This window comes from Homo sapiens, chromosome 17 (genome assembly GCF_000001405.40).
Source record: "Homo sapiens chromosome 17, GRCh38.p14 Primary Assembly".
NCBI classification, from domain to species: Eukaryota; Metazoa; Chordata; class Mammalia; order Primates; family Hominidae; genus Homo; species Homo sapiens.
Window position 1 is genome coordinate 82,561,851 of NC_000017.11, and position 16,486 is coordinate 82,578,336.

Below are 16,486 nucleotides of genomic sequence, written 5' to 3' on the forward strand. Positions count from 1 at the left end.
TCCACAGGCTGGAGGTGCCCCTAGGGCAGGGTGGTGGACAGAGTCTTCCTCTGTTGGGGGGGGGGGGTGCCCGCACTGGGCGCACAGATGTGAGCCGGGCTGAGTCCCGCGCCGGGTGCGCGGATGTGTGCTGGGCTGAGTGTGGCCGGCCACTTGTTTGCGTTGTTTGTGGACATACAAATAGGCTGTTGTTGAACTGGGTTCGTGGTGGGGACTTAGAGACTCTCAGAGTCTATGGCTATTTTTAAATTTTATTCTTTGAAGGTATTTGGCTTGCATGACCTTTGTTTGGTTATGTTTTACTTGAATCATGTCAAGGAAGCTACATGAAGTGTGAACCAGAGTGTTCACTGCAAACCTTCTCCCCTGTAGCTTAATGTCCCTGGCTCTTTGTTTGCCAGAGCCAACAGTGAAAAGGGTGATAGGATTTTTTATTTAAAGAAAAGGAGGCTGGGCGCCATGGCTCACGCCTGTAATCCCAGCACTTTGGGAAGCCGAGGTGGGCGGATCACGTGAGGTCGCGAGTTCGAGACCAGCCCGACCAACATGGAGAAACCCCGTCTCTGCTAAAAATACGAAATTAGCCGGGCGTGGTAGTGCATGCCTGTAATCCCAGCTACTCAGGAGGCTGAGGCAGGAGAATCGCTTGAACCTGGGAGGTGGAGGTTGCAATGAGCAGAGATAGCACCATTGCACTCCATTCTGGGCGACAAGAACGAAACTCTGTTTCTAAAAAAAAAAAGGAAAGGAATTATTTTTCTTAAATAAGAAAACTACCACAAAGTTATTGCTTTGTGACCCAGATACATTTGTATGTTTGTTTTGAAAGGAAAAATAGACACTGGGTGGTATTTGAGTTTTGTTTTAAGTCTACTATAAGACCCAAAACATATTCAGGCACTTAGTTTAAAAGCAGTCATGTAAACTAAGTAGTATTTGAGTCTTTTTGAGTCTATGCTTTTTTTTTTTTTGGTCGGGGGAGACAGGGCCTCTTGCTCAGACTGAAGTGCAGTGGCACTATCATAGCTCACTGCAGCCTCGACCTTCTGGGCTCAAGCAATCCTCCTGCCTCAGCCTCCTGAGTATCTGGGACCACAGGCATGCACCACCACGCCTGGCTAATTTTTTGTAGTCTTTGTAGAGGTGGGGTCTTGCTGTGTTGCCCAGGCTGGTCTTGACCTCCTGGACCCAAGTCATCGGCCTGCCTCAGCCTCCCAAAGTGCTGGGATTACAAGCATGAGCTACGATACCTGGCCTTGTCTGTGCTTTTTATTTTCCTGTATGGCTGGTCTAAGTAGCGTTTTCTTACTGGTGTTTTTAAAGTCATGAAGCACCTTAGTTGTGGTTTTGTTTGTTTGGCGACTTATAATAACACGGTGAGCTGAGCTTGGAAGTGTTGCATCCATGTTCTCAGCTGCTCCAGTGTTGTGGGGACATGTGGGGACTCTGCCCTGCCCCGGCTGGAACAGCAAAAGGTGCTGATGGTGGGCTTTTCTTTTCCAGGTGCACATTCAGGTTCCCGAGCACAAACATCAAGATAACGTTCACTGCCCTGTCCAGCGAGAAGAGAGAGAAGCAGGAGGCGTCTGAGTCTCCAGTGAAGGCCGTACAGCCACACATCTCGCCCCTGACCATCAACATTCCAGACACCATGGCCCACCTCATCAGCCCTCTGCCCTCCCCCACGGGAACCATCAGGTGCGGCCATGGGGATGGGGGACTGGAGCATCCTTAGTCCCAGTGGCAGCCCCAAGTAACGCCTTTCTCCTTCCCTGGTGCTGACTTATGTGGAGAGAGAGAATGTGAGGTGGTGTTTAAAATATCATTGGATTTCTGCTCTGAATTTCCTGCATTATGAAATGCAGTTCCCAAAGGTTCCTGGTTTTTATTTACTCATTCCCTTTTTTTTTTTTTTTTTTGAGAAGGAGTCTCTGTCTGTTGCCCAGGCTGGAGTGCAGTGGTGCTATCTTGGCTCACTGCAACCTCTGCCTCCCAGGTTCAAGCGATTCTCCTGCCTTAGCCTCCTGAGTAGCTAGGACTACAGGCGCCCACCACCACGCCCACCTAATTTTTGCATTTTTAGTAGAGACAGGGTTTCACCATATTGGTCAGGCTGGTCTTGAACTCCTGACCTCAAGTGATCCGCCCACCTCAGCCTCTCCAAGTGTTGGGATTACAGGCTGAGCCACTGCACCTGGCCTGTTTACTCATTCTTTAAAAGATGTTTTTAAAGTGGTTTTTTTTTTTTTTTTTGGGAGATGGAGTTTTGCACTGTTCCCCAGGCTGGAGTGCAGTGGTGTGATCTCGGCTCACTGCAACCTCTGCCTCCCAGGTTCAAGTGATTCTCCTGCCTCAGCCTCCTGAGTAGCTGGGGCTACAGACATGTGCCACCATACCCGGCTAATTTTTTGTATTTTTAGTAGAGACGGGATTTCACTGTGTTGGCCAGGCTGATCTCAAACTCCTGACCTCGTCATCCACCTCCCAAAGTGCTGGGATTACAGGCGTGAGCTACCACAGCTGGCTGGTTTTTTTTTGTTTGTTTGTTTGTTTTGTTTTTTGTTTTTAAGAGATGGATTCTGGCTGTGTTGCCCAGGATGAACTCAAACTCCTGGACTTAAGTGATCCTCCCGCCTTGACCTTCTGAGTAGCTGGGACAACAGATGTGCTCCACTGTGCCTGGCCTGGATTCTTTTTATTGGAGTATAAATGAAAGGGCAGACAGTGGTCTAAAGTCTGCCCTTTCAAAATTTTAATTTTGAATTTTTTTTAGAGAGCCCACAGCCTGAAGAACCATGAGCCAATTAAACATTTTTTCTTTATTTTTTTTTTAAAGAAGAGTAGAGAGCCCAGAAATAAACCCTCACATAATGTAGTCAAATGGTTTTTTTTTTTTTTGAGATGGAGTTTCACCCTTTTTGCCCAGGCTGGAGTCCAATGTGCGGTCTTGGCTCACTGCATCCTCTGTCTCCCAGGTTCAAGCGATTCTCAAGCCTCAGTCTCCTGAGTAGCTGGGATTACAGGCATGCACCACCACGCCCGGCTAATTTTGTATTTTTAGTAGAGATGGGGTTTCTCCATGTTGGTCAGGGTGGTCTTGAAATCCTGACCTCAGGTGATCCGCCTGCCTCGGCCTCCCAAAGTGCTGGGATTACAGGCGTGAGCCACCACGCCTGGCCTCATCAAATGGTTTTTGACGAGGGTGCCCACATGCCCACACCATTCATTCAGACTTCCCAACAAGTGGTACCAGGTAAACGGTATGTCCACATGGAAAATAATGAATTTGGGCCCTTATCTTATACCGTGTGCAAAAATTAACTGAAAATGGATCAAAGACCTAAATGTAAGGCCTGAAACTATAAAATTCTTAGAAGAAAACATAGGCAAAACCTATGACATTGGATTTGGTATTGATTTCTTGGATTTGATACCAAAGGCACAGGCAACAAAAGAAAAAGACAAATTGAACTTCTTGAAAATTTAAAAAATTTCTGCATCAAAAGACAACATCAGTAGTGAAAAGGTGTTGTACAGAATGGGAGTAAGTATTTGCAAATCATACATCTGACAAGGGATTAATATCCAGATTATAGAGAGAACTCCTAAAACTCAACAACAAAGAAACAAAAGACCCAGTTCAAAAACGTGAAAGACATTGTTTCAAAGAAGATATAGAAATGGCCAATAAGGACATGAAAAGATATTCAGCATCAGTAGTTATTAGGGAAATGCCAATCAAAACACAATGAGATCCCACCTCACACCCATTGGATTGGCTGCTATTAAAAACAAAAAACCCAGAAAATAGTGTTAGTGAGGATGTGGAGAAATTGGAACTGTTGTGTGCTGTTGCAAGGAATGCCAAACCGTGCAGCTGCTGTGGAAACAGACTAGCAGTTCCTCACAAAACTAAAAATAGAATTACCATGTGATCCAGCAACCCCACTTCTGGATATAGACCCAAACTGAAGGCAGGGTCTTGAAGAAATATTTGTATGCCTGTTTTCATAGCAGCCTTATGCACAATTTCCAGAGAATAGAAGATACAATGGAATATTATTCAGCCTTAAAAAGGAAGGAAATCCTGACATATGCTGAAACATAAATTAACCCTGAGGACGTTATGCTCAGTGAAATAAGCCAGTCATTGAGATTCCTAGAGTATCACATTTGCAGAGACAGAAGGCAGAATGGAGAGGTGGCCAGGGGCTGGGGGCGGGGAGGGGGAGCCGGTGTTTCTTGGGGACAGAGCTTCAGTTTGGGAAATGAGAACATTCTGGAGCGGGGTGGTGTGATGGCTGCACCTCTGTGTGAATGCGCTTCATGCTGCTGAAGTGTGCAGTTTAAAATGGTTAAAATGGTAAATTTTATGTTGTGTGTATTTTACCACAAAAAAAAAAATAGGCCCCCTGGAAAAACATCCGTTGTGCATGTGTTTGTGAAATGGAGGTGTGGCCAGTGGACTCTGGCCACCATCCTGTGCCTGGTGCTGTCTGAGAGTCGCCCCGGCTGGCATCAGGGCCTTCTCGTTGCTGCCCTCTCTCCCATTGCTCCTTTGCTGAGAGGCTGCCCTCTCTCTTGGCTGAATTTGGCTGAACATAACTGAGTGGGCCAAATAGTAAGTGTGCAAGTGGGTAGGCACAAGTCAGTCCTGCCGCCCAGTGCTTATTAAGCACTGCATGAAAAGGGCACAGAATTCCCTGGAGTAGAATGTGCCCAAGTTTACGTAAGTCACATACAGCTCACCGCCAAGCAGCAGCCTTGAAGACCCCACTTCAAGTGTGACTGACAGCAGCGGTGGGTGCAGGGGAAGGGTGGGTCACAGCTGCCACCCTGAGGTTGGGTCGGCTCCCAACTCCGCCTCTCCTCCCACCTGCTGCTTTCTTTTCATCCTGCGTTTCCTTGCTTGCCCCTCCCCACACCTGCACAGACCTTTGTCAGGGGGAACCCAGGTCCCCGGGGCCTCCAGGTGGAGCGAGCCTGAGCAACCTGACTTTCCAAACCTGCCGTCCACCCAGCAGGTCACTCGCCTTCCTCGGGCCACACTGGCTGCATCCTCCACTTGTTAAAAGTTGGCTCTTTAAACTCATAAATTGTAGATGCTTTTTCTCCAGTGCTTTAAGGATGGTTGCTGGCATTGAGTAAATACTTGTTGAATGGGTGAGTGAGTATACCAGTGGTGCATATTCATGGCGGAGAGTCTAAGAAGCACTGCAGAGGGTACAAGGCCACTCGTGTGTTGCCCTTTCCCTCCTCCCCCCCACCTCTCCATCTCCCTGGCCCTCCTTTTGGAGTTGTTTCTCAGAGGTCATGCCTTTAGGCTTCTTGGTGATTTTCTCTAGACCTTCTCTATGCATTTGCAATGTTTTTCCCCAAACACACCTCTCTGACTTATAAGATAATCTTACCTTGATATTGTTCCATTTCAATGGCTCGTTCTTTTTATTGAAGTGCAGAAAATGAGGCATGGAGAGAATCTGCAGCTCCTTGACTTACCAGAAATGCACGTGCCCTTTAATCGGCACAGAGATCAAGAATCAGAACACTCCCTGAGCCCCCGTCCAGCCCGGTGGGAAAAAGTGGCTGTTTGAAAACGGGCCTGATTCTGTGTCCCGGGCGCCCCCAGCTGACCCGCTGCTGCGTCCCGGGCGCCCCCAGCTGACTGCTGTTGTGCCTTCAGCAGGTGTCCATGTCCACGGCTTCATCTTCAGTGGAACCGCTTGCTCCACTTCAGCTCCAGGGGCCTTGGCTGGCAGACCCCTCCCCTCCCCCACCACCCCGACTTTCCCTGTCTTTTCTGTGCCCCCTGTCACAGCTCCTCAGTGAGGACCTCTGTGCCTATCTTGTGTCACTTTGTGTCTTTAATAAGTTCTGGAACCATTCGGAGCCTCAGTTTCCTCACTGGTGAAATGAGTGGGCCACTGCCTCCCCTGAGAGCTTGTGTCACATTTCATGAGCTGACGTTTATAGAAGCAAATACCCTATTTCCACATTGCTTCTTGGGACGATCTTAAATTTCACAGATCATTTATAAGAATCTGTGTTTCCATAGGAAATGCTGATATTCTCTTCCTTTTTTTTTTTTTTTTTTTTTTAACATTTCTGTATTTGTTATCCCTGTAATTAAAGCCAGTTGCTGAAGCACAGTAGGATGCGTGCACTGTGATAGACTAATAGGAACAACTTTTTCTCTTCCACAGCGCTGCAAACTCCTGCCCCTCCAGCCCCCGGGGAGCGGGGTCTTCAGGGTACAAGGTGGGCCGAGTGATGCCATCTGACCTCAATTTAATGGCTGACAACTCACAGCCTGAAAATGAAAAGGAAGCTTCAGGTGGAGACAGCCCGAAGGTAAAGGCTTTGTAGCCTTGAAGCAGCCCCTGGGGGACAGTGTGTAGCCACAGGGCCCTCAATGTCACCTGCCTGTCACTCACCTGCCTGTCCAGTGACAGCCCTGCCAGGGCATCGGTGGGGATGTGGGCTTGATTCTGGTGTTGCTGCTGTGTTCTTGGTATTGGGGCTTTTTGCAAGTGTACTCGTTTAGTCATTCAACGCACATCTTAGGGTCTCCCTAATAGCTGTAGGCCCAGGTGCTGAGGGCTGGGCAGACAGCGGAAGATGGAGGAGTACCTTGGTCTTTGTGGAGCTCATGTGTGTTTGTGCCGGAGTTTATCCCCTTGTCCCAAACTCTGAAGGTTATGCAAATGCACACCCTGCCACTCATGTTTGTATAGGGCACGTTTGTCACTTGTTTGGACAGCAGTTGTTGAGAGTCACACTATGACCTGGCACGTTTGTATTCTTTGACCCAGTAATTTTCCTTTTAGGACTTTGACCAAAGGAAATGGATGAAAGTTTGTATAAAACAATGGAATGCGGCTGGGTGTGGTGGCTCATGCCTGTAATCCCAGCACTTTGGGAGGCCAAGGCGGGGGGATCACTTGAGGTCAGGAGTTGGAGACCAGCCTGGTCAACATGGTTAAACCCCGCTTCTACCAAAAAAAAATACAAAAAGCCAGGCGTGGTGGCACGCAGCTGTAATCTCAGCTGCTCTGGAGGCTGAGGCGGGAGAATCACTTGAACCCCGGGAGGCGGAGGTTGCAGTGAGCTGAGATCACGCCACTGAACTCCAGCCTGGGTGAGAGAGTGAGCTCCTGTTTCAAAAAAATAAAATAAAAAATAAAAAGAACGCAACCTCAGTGTCCCTAGGGGAATGGTGATTAGGATATTGTGCTTCCACTTAGGGAATAGCATGCAGAGTATTTGCTGATATGGAAATATTCCAGATGTAATGCTGAGTGGAAGAAAGAGAGTAAGAACCATGCATGGTATTACTTGACATATTGAGGAAGTGTGATCTATCCCAGCAGAACGCAGCACAGCCATGAGAATGAATAAGCCACAGCTGTGCATCCCCCACCTGCGGCCGACTACGGCGTCTAACACAGGGTGCTAGGCAAGGAGGGCGCGTCGCGTGTGGTGCTGTTTCTGTCAGGCTTACAATTGGACAGATCTAAGTTGTATTGTTTAAGGATGCAGCCAAGTGGTAAAACGTAGTAAATCCCAGCAAAACTGTGGTCACTCTAAGAAGTCAGTAGTAATGGTGGCCTCTTGGAGAAGTAGAGGTAGTGGGCTGAGAGGGCCCATACGAGCATGTTGGGGATGCTGGTGGTGCCCTGTCTCTTGACCTAGTATACTGATGTTCACTTTGCAAAAATTTGTTCAGCTGACATAAATGTATCATGAGCTTTTCTGTCTGTTTTATATGTTTTTCAATTTAAAAAGTTTTTAGAAACATAGAAAAAAATCACAGGGAAGTCAACAGCACAGGCACAGTGACGAAGGCTTTGTTAGCTGTTTAAAGGAAGAGACGTAGCGGGCAGTGTGGCATGCACCTGTAGTCACAGCTGCTCGGGAGGCTGAGGCAGAATCACTTGAGTTCAAAGCTGTGGTGAGCTACGATCAATCCTTGAATAGCCACTGTACTCTAGCCTGGGCAACATAGCAAGACCCTGTCTAAAAAGAAAGAATTAGGTATGTGGAGGGTCTTCTTGTGATTACATTTTTCTGTTTAAAAAAAAAAGCGATAGGCTGGGCGCAGTGGCTCACGCCTGTAATCCCCAGCACTTTGGGAGGCCAAGGTGGGCGGATCACGAGGTCAGGAGATCGAGACCATCCTGGCTAACACGGTGAAATCCCGTCTGTACTAAAAATACAAAAAATTAGCTGGGCGTGTTGGCAGGCGCCTGTAGTCCCAGCTACTCGGGAGGCTGAGGCAGGAGAATGGCGTGAACCCGGGAGGTGGAGCTTGCAGTGAGCCGAAATCGCGCCACTGCACTCCAGCCTGAGTGACAGAGCGAGACTCTGTCTCAAAAAAAAAAGAGAGACAAATTTGACTTCGGGAGGCCAAGGTGGGCATATCACTTGAGCTCAGGAGTTTGAGATCAGATTGGACAAAAAAGCAAGATCCTGTCTCTACAAAAATACCAAAAATTAGCCAGGCATAGTGGCATGAGCTTGGAGTCCCAGCTGCTGGGGCGGCTGAGGTGGGAGGATCACCTGAGCCCTGGGAGTTCAGGCTTCAGTGAGCCGTGATCACACCACTGCACTCTGGCCTGGGCGACAGAGTGAGACCGTGTCCCCAGAAAAGAAAAGACAAACGTCCCTCTGCCCACTCTGAGCTGTCAGCGCTGAACGCGGCCTGTGCTATGGAAGCCCATGTGGGCGCCTCTGATATCCTTGCCTCCTGTCTGTCAGCCTGCCTGTTTCCCATTCCATTTGTGTTTATCCTTGAACAGTATCTATAATTGTTCATTGTAAAACTCCATGTATATAGTATCATCTTGAATGTATTTTTTCATCCGACATTATCTGTTGCTCTTCATCCATGTTGACAAGCGTGTTGCCCAGAAGTTCACAACCAGGAGTGATTCCCTTTCCCAGTGGGCTCGTGCCTGTAAGTGTGGGTTTCAAGTTGTCACTATGACAGGGAGCCACCAGTGGCCTTGAAAGAGCCAGGACCAGGGATGCCAGCCTGTCAGCGGGGCACTCAGCAGCCAGGATGTCTCCAACCCCAAGGTGAAGCCTCCATGGGGCTCTTCGTGGGCCAGGGGGCTCCTCCTCATGGGCGGCAGGGTCTCCTTGTGGATGGGTATTTGGTGAGTCCCAGGGGCTCTGGGCAGCCCTGGCCACCCCTGGTGCTTATGCCTGGGGAGGGGTGCTGCTGGCTGTGAGCCCTCAGCCAGCCTTACCCACCCCTCGCCTGTACCCCTGGGGTAGCTGACAGGATCTGGTCGTGGTTGAGGTGCTTTGCCTTGGACTCCACTGAGGTCAAGCAGCCTTTATGTCTTCATTTTTGACATTTGGATTTTTTCCTTATGTAATTTTTAATATTCTTTATAGTTTTCCATTTGTTTCCTCCATGTTTTCGAATTGTATTACTTTCATAGTAAGAAAAATGAGGTATCAGGCTGGGCGCAGTGGCTCACACCCGTAATCCCAGCACGTTGGGAGGCCGAGGCAGGCGGATCACCTGAGGTCAGGAGTTTGAGACCGGCCTGGCCAACATGGTGAAACCCCGTCTCTACTAAAACCACAAAAATTAGCCGGGCGCGGTGGCAGGCGCCTGTGATCCCAGCTACTCGGGAGGCTGAGGCAGGAGAACCGCTTGAACTCAGAGGGCGGAGACTGCAGTGAGCCAAGATCGCGTCACTGTACTCCAGCCTGGGCGACACAGCGAGACTCTGTCTCAAAAAAAAGACAAATGAGGTATCAGAGGAACACTTAAAAGCACTGAGAATCTTTAAATCTAGTAAATTTAATACAAAATATGGTAACTTCAATATTCGTTTTGTGTTTGTTTTTTAAATACAGGATGATTCAAAGCCGCCTTACTCCTACGCGCAGCTGATAGTTCAGGCGATTACGATGGCTCCCGACAAACAGCTCACCCTGAACGGGATTTATACACACATCACTAAAAATTATCCCTACTACAGGACTGCGGACAAGGGCTGGCAGGTAAATGCCTTCAGTTTGTTGTTAAATAGAGGCTGATGGATACCGAGAAGAAAGTGGAGCGGCTGCTGTCTGGAACACAGGCACAGGATAGGAAGGTAGAAGGGGGGGTTGGAGCCTCCCGTGCTGAGAGGAAGAGGAGTTGGGGGCCGGTGCTGCCATGCTCTGCCTCACCTTCTTTGTGTGGAGCAGAAGGAAGCGTGGTTCTGGAGGAGCGTCTAGGCCTGCATGCTTTACTGTTGTGGAAATTCATGTGTCTGCATAGGATTTGTGAAGTGTGGATTGTTTGAGATATTTCCCTTTGACCAATGCAGTTCATATTTGAAATGTAGGAGAAATTTAAAACCCAGCCTATCCTTCCCTTTGGCATTCTCCTGTCTTCCTCATCTAATCCTGCTAATGGACAGAAGTTTTGAAGTTTGCAGAGACAGTTTTCAAACCGCATTTTACCAAGGAACACTTAGAAGACATCTTAACCAGTTGGCCGGGGTAAAAAACAGATGAACGTGGTGTGCCCTGTCTCAGCCGGGGAGCCCACCTGGTCGTGGAACCCCGGGGCTACCCCCAAGAGACACTTTGAAATCTGCAAAATATTCCCTTTGGTCAGCTCACACACCAATAATTTTTTTTTTTTTTTTTGAGTCAGAGTCTCGCTCTGTTATGCCAATAATTTTAACCCTTTAGATTATGTAGGTTTTTTCTCTGTGTATCTGTGTTGTGTTGGCTGTTTACTGGATGTATATGAGAATCTTGCTATTTGAAATAATTTGGCAGTGGGTAGGTTTGAAATATAGAATATTAAAAACATAGAGAAGAAATGTATGTATGCTTATAGTTTTTTAATTCATTAAGTAACCAGGAACATCTATAGAATTTCTTTGAGGCTTTAATGAGTAAATGATCCTTTAAAAAAACATCTAAACTACATGGCTTAGTGGTAAGGATGGTGCAGGGGCAACTGTTTTCTATTTATTGAAGGGGAAAAACCTTTTTTGTTTTAACCACAGATGTATAAACATGTTATGTTAAAAAATAGCCTACCGGCCGGGCACAGTAACTCATGCCTATAATTCTAGCACTTTGAGAGCCGAGGCAGGTGGATCGCGTGACTCTAGGATTTCGAGAGCAGCCTGGGCAACATGGCGAGACCCTGTCTCTACAAAAAATAAAAAAAAATTAGCTGAGTGTGGTGGCTTACGCTTGTAGTCCCAGCTACTCCAGAGGCTGAGGTGGGAGGATCACCTGAGCCCAGGAAGCAGAGGTTACAGATATCTGTGATCACACCACTGCACTCCAGCCTGGGTGACAGAGCAAGACCCTGTCTCAAAAAGGAAAAAAAAAGCCTACCAGCCACGTCTTCCATATTTCCTTTGTGGAGGGGCTTGGGGGTCTTTAATCATGGAAGGTACAGAATGAGACCCAGCCTCCCCTCTGGCCCACCTTGTGCCCACCCCCCATACCTGGAGTGTCTATACCCTGTCCTGCCTGCCTTCCTGTCTACAGCAAGGGGGTATCTCTTAATTGACCATTAGGAAAATGCTGGATTTGGAGAGTAGTTCCATATTCAGTTACATGTCAGGGTCTCTTAACATATTGCATGCTAAATTCTGGCCGTATTTACTCTATAAAACTGAGGCTGTGCTTCAAACTATATACATACACACACACACTCTCTCTCTCTCTCTCTCTCTCTCTCACACACACACACACACACACACACACACACACACACAACCAGATAATAACTTCTACCCATGTTCCAGTGACCATGGCTTTATGGCTTTGTCAAGGAGAGAAACTCCACATGGGGTCCAGCTTGCTCTGTGGGAGTGTGTGAGGGTCCCTCAGAGTTTACAGCTTATTCTGATGGTTTGAGATACCAGTTACCTGGGGCTTTGTCAGTGTGTTTCTAAGAAGCTTTATTAGACTCTAATGTGTTTCTCTTAAGTGGTATTTCTGTGTGTTTTTTCTAACATCCATTTATTTGAGAACTACCTATGAACAGGACAAGGCTTTCTTGCTAAAGAGGGTGGCTGGATAAAGGCCTGGCCTCAGTTTTGGGGGGGCCCAAGTCAGGACAGGTCTTTTGGGGAGCAGAGCCCTTGGAGCAAGGCTCTCCTGGACCACAGTCGTGAAGTGGCGAGGACCCCACGGGACCCCTCATGCATGCCCTGCTTTCTGTCGTCTATTGCAGGTGCCTGCACAGCTCACGTCGGCAGGGAATGACAGACTAGCACACGTCAGGCACCCTTCTCTGCTGAACTGCTATTAAACTTGTTTCTGTTGAAACATTTTCTCTCCTGTCTAGATGGAGGTCTGTAAGTCTACAGCTGCATCTCTTTCCCCAGTAAGGCCACTCCTGTGTCATTTCATGCCTCGTGGCTCCAGCTAATTAAGCGGGAGAGGGATTAGTTTCTCCAGATTCCTCCTAGTTCATGGACATTACTCTCTCTCTTTTTTTTTTTTTTTTGAGATAGAGTTTTGCTCTTGTTGCCCAGGCTGGAGTGCAATGGCGCGATCTCGGCTCACTGCAACCTCCGCCTCCCAGGTTCAAGCGATTCTCCTGCCTCAGCCTCATGAGTAGCTGGGACTACAGGCTTGAGCCACCACACCCGGCTAATTTTGTATTTTTAGCAGAGACGGGGTTCCTCCATGTTGGTCAGGCTGGTGTTGAACTCCCGACCTCGGGTGATCTGCCTGCCTCGGTCTCCCGAAGTGCTGGGATTACAGGCGTGAGCCACCGCGCCTGGCCAATGTACTTTGAATTTCTTTCTGTCCTCAGCTGTACCCTTGGCTGTCAGAATACTGACCCTCACGGGCTCTTCCTGTGCCATGAGATTCTCTGAGCCGCCCTTCCCAGTGCCTCAGACCTTATTCTGACTTCCTCCCTCCTGGCTTACAACAAAAGCCAGGTGTTTTGTATTGTCTACCTATGGTATAGCTTTTTGGTCAATCCACAGAGGACATCTGAGGGTGAAATGAGATGGTCTGAGGAATCCTATTTGAAAAGATGCCATATGTCTTTCTTTTGTTTGCATTTACGTCCTATGATTTGATTTTTTCATGGTACAAAAGTATTTAATAAGTGACACTTCAGTACAGAAAACACAGAGCTTGTAGCTTGTCCTTTAAAACCAGGACGGCCAAGTGAAAAGTCAGTACAGAGTCTTATTTTTACTATTAAACAAATCAAAGGGACACACTGGGCATTGAACTACTATGCTTTTTCTTCTTTCTAGAGATGACATACGTGTTTTCTGATAAGTAATGTACCACACATTGCACTAAAGCAAAGCAGCAAACAGCCAGTAAAGCTGTGCCCTGCCTGCTGCTCCTGCCGGGCTGGACCAGTGGAACACCATCTCGGTAGGAGAGGAAGAAAATGCAGAGTCCCTAACCCAGAGAGCCTAACAAACTGGTTTATACCGAAGTGATCTTCAGCAAACACGCAAACACACTAACATGCTGTAAGAATGTTTTAGTCTATTTCTAGCACACAGCATAAATTCGTAGGTGCCCAGTCAAATAGGAAGGAACGCCATTGTAGAAAGCATTTTTGCCTTCACAGCACTAACACCTAAAAAGCACACGGCATATAGTACTTTGATCTTTAAGTGGATAAGCATGGAAGTCCCAAGATCATATCCACTAGATTAGCCTGAGTATTCATCTATAAAAATATATATTTTTAAAATAATGCTTAAAAGAGACTTCTAGAAACAGTGGGACTACATCAGGAGCAGAAGACAGCGACACAAGGACTGCAAATGTTAAGACTAGGAGTGGCTTTTCACGTGGAACTTTTATGTAGAGGACGTCTCTTTCTGTTGATTGCTACAGCCGAGACAAGCTGTGATCACAGGAGATTCTGAAATCTCAAGCTGGGCTTGAGTAACACCCTAGATAGACATCAGGAACCCCATTGAGGCTGAAGTACTGAAACTGACCCATGTGAAGAAGAGATAAAGAGATGCAGATGCGCAAAGATTCACGCAGAGCCTGCTGGGACAGAGGGTGGCGGCGGGTTCATCCACACGTCCACACCAGCGTGTGTGCTTGGGTGGCGGCGGCGGGTTCATCCACACCAGCGTGTGTGCTCGGGTGGCGGCGGCGGGTTCGTCCACACGTCCACACCAGCGTGTGTGCTCGGGTGGCGGCGGCGGGTTCGTCCACACCAGCGTGTGCTCGGGTGGCGGCGGCGGGTTCGTCCACACCAGCGTGTGTGCTCGGGTGGCGGCGGCGGGTTCGTCCACACCAGCGTGTGTGCTCGGGTGGCGGCGGCGGGTTCGTCCACACCAGCGTGTGTGCTCGGGTGGCGGCGGCGGGTTCGTCCACACCAGCGTGTGTGCTCGGGTGGCGGCGGCGGGTTCGTCCACACCAGCGTGTGTGCTCGGGTGGCGGCGGCGGGTTCGTCCACACCAGCGTGTGTGCTCGGGGAAGGACCCCCCAAGTGGAGTGCTGGACATGGGCTCGCTCCAGAGGCGTCTGACTCAGAAGCTCCTGAGAGAAGTGTCTCCTTGAGGAGGGGAGGAATACTACGGTTAATGAATACAAGAAGGTGTTTCAGGAGAAATAGGTCTAGGAGGGTTAAGTCATTTTGGTTTTGACCTGTCAATACTTAACATAAATGAAGAATTACAAAACAGAGTCAGTCTTTTTCCAAGATGTATTCTGTCATCATGAGCTGAGCCTGTTGGGCTGGTGACATCCAGAATGTTCCAATTCATTGGCTGGAGGGAGGACCCAGTGCCGCAGATTGTTCTGGGAAGCTGGCACAGAAGATGATTGACACAACGAAGTCACCACTAAGCCACTGCTTAAGTCTAGTCCTCGGCCTTCTTTTTCTGCTCTGTAGTCCAAAACCGTGAACGTAGCAGCATGTCGAATATGTCACCAGCTGCTTCATTTTTATGGTGCTGTAATGTGGTGGTGAAAGCTGCCATGTTGAATCCAGAAATCCGCTCCAGCAGCTGTTCTTCAATATATTTTTCTACCAAAAAAATGTATGCAGGCTGGGTGCGGTGGCTCACGCCTGTAATCCCAGCACTTTGGGAGGCTGTGGCCGGCAGATCACCTGTGGTTGGAGGGTTCGAGACCAGATGACCAACACGGAGAAACTACATCTCTACTAAAAATACAATATTATTAGCGGGGTGTGGTGGTGCGTGCCTGTAATCCCAGCTACTCAGGAGGCTGAAGCAGGAGAATTGTTTGAACCCACATGGCGGAGACTGCGGTGAGCTGATACCGCGTCATTGCACTCCAGCCTGGGCAACAAGAGCAAAACTCCGTCTCAAAAAAAGAAAAAGAAAAAAAGAAATGTATTCATTAAAAATAGGTGTGTAGGTGAGTTTATTCTCTTCCGTGTCTTCAAACTCCAGGTAGTACTTGTCCATGTAATTTCTCTGTAATAACTGGAACTCGTTATCCATGATAACGTTCTCTAAATATCCAACCACAACAGCAAATTCATCAGAGGTGGAGGAGAAAGACAGCACAAAGCTCTCTTCTTCTAAGGTGTCCATCACTGCAGCCCCGAGCAGGCTCCTACCCCGCCTGTGGCCCAACCTGCATGCAGGGCGTGGCGGGCGGCCGGGTTAAGGTCTCGCAGCCAAAGCTGCGGCGTGCTCACTGCCCAGTCAGGGCAGCACCTGCGTGCCAGGCCCAGCCCTGGGTTAGGGCCCCGCCGGGCCCTCTGTGCATACCGCCGACACTGCGGGCCAAGGTCTCGGTGACTCCAAAATGATTTTTATGGTTTTATGATTTTACTTCACCCAGAATTGAGATAATTGTTGTGACTATGAGAAGTTTGAAAGGACGGGCCTCTCAGCCTCCAAAGGGACTAGAGCTGGTTCCTTTTATTTATTTTTGTTTTATTTATTTTTTTGGGGACAGAGTCTTACTCTGTTGCCCAGGCTGGAGTGCAGTGGCGCGATCTCAGCTCACTGCAACCTTTGCCTCCTGGGTTCAAGTGGTTCTCCATTCTCAGCCTCCTGAGGAGCTGGGACTACAGGTGCATGCCACCATGCCCGGCTAATTTTTGTGTTTTTACTAGGGATGGGATTTTGCCATGTTGGCCAGGCTGGTCTCGAACTCCTGACCTCAAGTGATCCACCCGCCTCGGCCTCCCAAAGTGCTGGGATTACAGGCGTGAGCCACCGCACCCGTCACTTGATCTCTTTTAAAGGGAGGACTGTACTCTGGACTCACCCTCACCCTTGCACTTTTGGAAGCGTTCCTGGACATTAGACCCATCCTCTGAAAGGAACTTGTCCTGTTCCTTCTCCTCAGTTTCTGTACACGTCCTTACTGTGCAGAGTGCACACGGGAGCGCACTCAGGGCTGGGTGAGGAAACAGACAAACCGTCCTTGAGAAACGTGAGGTCTGCTTAGGAAGGCTGCAGGAAGGCACAGAGGAGAGCCCCGGAAGGGAGGGAGCTGGTGCTCAGGGAGGGCTGATTTTCAGCAG

General features: G+C 48.6%; 1 protein-coding gene and 1 pseudogene across 3 annotated transcripts in view, besides 4 other annotated features; one reads left to right on the forward strand and one right to left on the reverse strand.

The window, feature by feature from the left end:
* FOXK2 (forkhead box K2) overlaps positions 1-16,486 on the forward strand; it is an 84,871-nt gene that overhangs the window by 42,119 nt on the left and 26,266 nt on the right. For all 3 annotated transcript variants that reach the window (NM_004514.4, XM_047435919.1, XM_047435920.1), the window contains exons 2-4: positions 1,504-1,698; positions 6,204-6,351; positions 9,874-10,020. In NM_004514.4, the coding sequence (NP_004505.2) occupies positions 1,504-1,698; positions 6,204-6,351; positions 9,874-10,020 (490 nt within the window). The remainder of the gene's footprint in view (positions 1-1,503; positions 1,699-6,203; positions 6,352-9,873; positions 10,021-16,486) is intronic.
* Positions 1,117-1,618: an enhancer, noted in NCBI's record as "H3K4me1 hESC enhancer chr17:80520843-80521344 (GRCh37/hg19 assembly coordinates)". NCBI's record gives its function as "activates a minimal SCP1, AML or CMV promoter by ChIP-STARR-seq in primed H9 embryonic stem cells {active_cell/tissue: H9 hESC(primed)}" and the evidence as "EXISTENCE:reporter gene assay evidence [ECO:0000049][PMID:30033119]".
* Positions 1,619-2,118: an enhancer, noted in NCBI's record as "H3K4me1 hESC enhancer chr17:80521345-80521844 (GRCh37/hg19 assembly coordinates)". NCBI's record gives its function as "activates a minimal SCP1, AML or CMV promoter by ChIP-STARR-seq in primed H9 embryonic stem cells {active_cell/tissue: H9 hESC(primed)}" and the evidence as "EXISTENCE:reporter gene assay evidence [ECO:0000049][PMID:30033119]".
* Positions 4,294-5,182: an enhancer, noted in NCBI's record as "H3K4me1 hESC enhancer chr17:80524020-80524908 (GRCh37/hg19 assembly coordinates)". NCBI's record gives its function as "activates a minimal SCP1, AML or CMV promoter by ChIP-STARR-seq in naive H9 embryonic stem cells {active_cell/tissue: H9 hESC(naive)}" and the evidence as "EXISTENCE:reporter gene assay evidence [ECO:0000049][PMID:30033119]".
* Positions 9,129-9,628: an enhancer, noted in NCBI's record as "H3K4me1 hESC enhancer chr17:80528855-80529354 (GRCh37/hg19 assembly coordinates)". NCBI's record gives its function as "activates a minimal SCP1, AML or CMV promoter by ChIP-STARR-seq in naive H9 embryonic stem cells {active_cell/tissue: H9 hESC(naive)}" and the evidence as "EXISTENCE:reporter gene assay evidence [ECO:0000049][PMID:30033119]".
* On the reverse strand, positions 14,464-15,650 carry ARL2BPP9 (ARF like GTPase 2 binding protein pseudogene 9; annotated as a pseudogene).